The sequence below is a fragment of the Homo sapiens genome, chromosome 5 (assembly GCF_000001405.40).
Source record: "Homo sapiens chromosome 5, GRCh38.p14 Primary Assembly".
NCBI classification, from domain to species: Eukaryota; Metazoa; Chordata; class Mammalia; order Primates; family Hominidae; genus Homo; species Homo sapiens.
In genome coordinates this window covers 64,636,504-64,640,657 of record NC_000005.10, presented here as the reverse complement: position 1 = coordinate 64,640,657, position 4,154 = coordinate 64,636,504, and the positions used below count along the sequence as shown (strand labels likewise).

Genomic DNA, 4,154 nt, shown 5'->3' with positions numbered 1-4,154 from the left:
TTTTTTTGATACAGGGTCTCACTCTGTTATCCAGGCTAAAGTGCAGTGGTGCGATCACAGCTCACTGCAGCCTCAACCTCCCAGGCTCAAGCCATCCTCCCTCTTCAGCTTCCTGAGTAGCTGGAACCACAGGTGCCTGCCACCACACCAGGCTAATTATATTTTTGTAGAAATGAGGTCTCACTACATTGCCCAGACTGGTCTCAAACTTCTGGGCTCAAGCGCTTCTCCCACCTCAGCCTCCCAAAGTGCTAGGATTATAGGCGTAAGCTATTGCACCTGGCCATATTCATTCTTTAAAAACACCCAATATTCAATTTATGACCTACTGTGACATGAAGATTATTTCTTTATTTTCTGCCTTTGCATTTTCTAAGTTTTTCTTCTTTTTAATTGAAATAAAAAATGTTATAGAATATATTTAGGATCCAAATGAGATATAAGTCTACGGGTATGTCTCTTTATCTCATTTGGATCTTAAATGTATTCTATAACACTTCATTTATTTTTTTCCCGGAAATATCTATATACTCTAGGTCTGTGTGTTCAACAAATTTGTAAGAAGAATATTATGTTCCAAAGTTGTTTTTAAAGAACCAATTCAGTTCCATTTCTGAATACCATATTTCCCTGTCATTACAAAAATCCTTTTGAAAGCATTCTTTCTACTAAATGATTTGGTATGGTGTCTATTTTGAGCATATGAGCAAGCACAATTATTTCTAAATCAGAGCAAAGCTACAGCTGAAAATTCCTTTAAATTCTGTAAGCCTTTAGTAGAGTTCATATGGATGTCCTCATCACAGAACAAAGACAAGGCACTTCAATTCAAGAAGCTTATGGAGTGGCACATACATAGTATAGGTAAATATAAGACAGATGGTATCGAGAGCCAGAATGTGTGATACAGGCAAGCAGTGCTTATAGGGTTTCAAAAAAAGAAAAAATGGAGATATCAATGTGGGCTGAAGTCATTGAGGGGAGGTTCCATTGGGGAGCCTTGAGCAGGGAGAGTAATCAGGAGAGGACACTGAGAACAAGAGACAGTACTGTGGCGGGGTGAATGGGGCAGGGTAGGGGAGTTGGGGAGAGTTGGTATTCTGGGAGATCAGGAAGACACAGACTTGCATACATTGAGTTGGAGCAAAGAGAGCTAGAATCGAACCAATTAGGCAGGGATACTGTGAAGTATGGCATTGGGGGTAATTTTGATTATAAGGGTGTCTTACTACAGATGCTCCTGGGGACACACAAGCCTCATCTTTTGGTATGTTGGCCTTAGAAAAAATGTTGCACGCTGTGCACCAGCAAAGTTTAGCCAGGACAAAGAATTCTGTATTTTGTGGAAATACAGAGTGGTTTGAAGTAGAGACAACTGAGTGTCTCAAAGATAGCACAGGGCAGGCAAGCTCCAGGCAAAAAAGACTTGTAGTTTTTCTGTGAATTTTCACAGGGTCAGCCCAGGTTGCTTCAGGGTTATTTGTATCATTCATCCCCCCTTGCCTCACCTGCCTCCCAACCCCATTTTCCCCCTTTCCTCTGTTGCATTCTGGTCATGCGAGAAGATTTAGAAAAGACTAGAACTGTATTTGGAGAGCCACTCACACCAGATTTGTGACTAGTCATGCACAATTCATTAGATTTTATGTTTATACCATAATGGTGAAGCTGCAGATGCTGATATGAAAGCAATATAAATATATTTTAAAGTGCTTTCAGATAGTGCAAACTTTGAGTTGCTAAGACCATACAGAGTAAAAATAAACATCATGGGAGTGAGGATTCTCTGTATTTTCTTCCCTGTAGGCTGAAACAGATCAATTTACTAAAAAGCAGTTTATCAAAAGATTTGTTTGCTGGAAAACCAATTTGCAGAGCACCAGTTTGCCAAATAGTGATTTATGGACTAGCAATTAGCTGATTGAGTAATTTATTAAAGGACCTATTTGCTGAATTATCAATAGAGTAAAAACTTTTTCTATAAACTATTACAGCAGAATGGCATATTAACTTATTCTATCAATAAAAGTGCAAAGAAAATGTGGTTGACAATTAATCTAATTTTTCTTATATGCATCCCCTCCCTGACTCCTACTCTCTTGGGTAGTGTGGGCCAGGAGAACTGCAAGTAAGGATTTATCATTCTATTCTGATTTCAATGGTTTCCTTTTAGTCTCTGACTTTCCAGTAAGTGTTTCATCGTTCACAGTTCTTCGCCCAATGCCTTGTCCCTGGCAAAGGTGGCTCTTGGGGTCCTGGTCTTATGTTCTTGAGGCAATGGCGGGAAGGAGAGGGGACTGTGATCTGTGAGTGGATCTTTGTGCTCCCTGGCTTCTGCCAAAATAATGGCCCCCTTCCATCTTGTCACTGCTCCTCCTGCTGGCTCCCATTGCTGAAGTTTACTGACGAAGCAGGCAACCTTGTGGTCTAGTTTCTCTTTGTCTTGTCTTCTCTGAGGTATTGTCCATTGATTCAGACCCACCTCAGCGGTCAGGGATATGGCGTTTCCCCCTGACATCTGGCTGTGAACTCCCATTTGGTTCTCACTCTGGGTAGTTGCCCTGTAGACATGGCTCGCACTGTAGGATGAGCCCAAGAAACCTATCAGTCAGCAGCATTAACCCCTTTGTGTCCTACCACATGCCACACGGAGCGACAGCAACTTTCCATATCCCCGGGAGCTCGGGAAGACTTAGCAATGCCCCAATGCCATGTGACCTTATAACCCTTCCAGGTTTACTCTGAAGTGGCTGGAGCTGCTGAGAGGGCCATTCATATGATTGTGCCCCCCTGGAATTGTGTGATGCAGGGGGGTAGCTCTGTAAAGTCTGCAGCTTTCTCTTCAGACTGTCTAGCTTGCTCTTCTTTGATAGCCTAGAAGTCAGAAGTCAGACAACAAATACTGGAAGTCTTGCTTTCTGTATTTCTGTCCTCTTCTCTTCTCCATAATCTCCTAGTGTCTGAAAGAGGCCAAATTGTCACTTCCCCCTGGCTTGTTAGAACTTCTCCTCCATTCTATCCTTTCCTGAAGGGTATTCTCACTCCTCTCCATCCTTCTCTGGGGGCTATAATGACAGAATGGCTCTCAGCCTGAGAACTTAATTTACTGGAGAGAAGAAAGGAAAAAAAACCCCACCCTATCAGCTTGATATTTTCAAAACTTCATTTTCATGACATTTTCTCCCTAGTCCCCTCCCTCCACACAGTTGGATACGTGGGGCTCACTGCCTGTGGAGGGAGCAGACTTTACAGCAAGACTTGAGGTTACACAGAGGGAAGTGCCCCGGTGGGGCCACGTCAGGAGAGAGGAACACGAGGAAGCCGCAAAAAATCATCAGCCATTGACTCCAGTTGCTGATGTGGCAGTGTGACATGAGGCAAGGAACGCGTTGGTAAGAGAGCCACAGGCCATGTCACGTCTGACACCCATCTCCTCACAGGATTTATGTGGGGATGCCATCTTTGTGAGGAGGCTGGGGAGGAACATCTGAGGGGCAGCATGTCGCTGAAAGGGCCATTTGTACTGAAAAGAAATGGTTGAAACTGAAGAGATTAAGATATGTCAGGGTGGGTGAAGATTAGAAAAATAAGAAAGCTACATTTACTTTTCACATTTGAAAGTAGTTTGAGTGAACTTGTACAATGACTTTAAAAGTTTATAGCCATTCACTTTTCATAGATGCTACCCCATGTTCAGTGTACTTTTTGGAATAACAATTTATTGGTTATTTAATTTCTGGCATTGTGCAATTTAATTTCTGGCATTGAATAACAATTTAATTTCTGGCATTGTACAGGTCACAAATATCAAAGATTTTTTGTGACCTGTACAAATATCAAAGCACTTTTTGGAATAACAATTTATTGGTTATTTAATTTCTGGCATTGTGCAATTTAATTTCTGACATTGAATAACAATTTAATTTCTAGCATTGTACAGGTCACAAGTATCAAAGATTTTTTTTCTTTTAAGGAGGGCATTGGCGTCTTTATCCCAAAGTATTTTCCGTTCAGTCTTTTGGCTTTCCTAATGCGCTTAATGACTTTGCTTTCTGGAGTGGGACAGAAGGCAGCAGAATCACAATGATGTCCAGGGAATTGTGTCTGGGGTGGTTTTCCCACATTTGTGTACATACCATCTACTTTGTGTGTGA

The 4,154-nt window shown here is 41.8% G+C and overlaps 1 annotated feature.

The window, feature by feature from the left end:
- Positions 3,159-3,328: an enhancer, noted in NCBI's record as "active region_22598". NCBI's record gives its function as "activates an Ori minimal core promoter by ATAC-STARR-seq in GM12878 lymphoblastoid cells {active_cell/tissue: GM12878}" and the evidence as "EXISTENCE:reporter gene assay evidence [ECO:0000049][PMID:35858748]".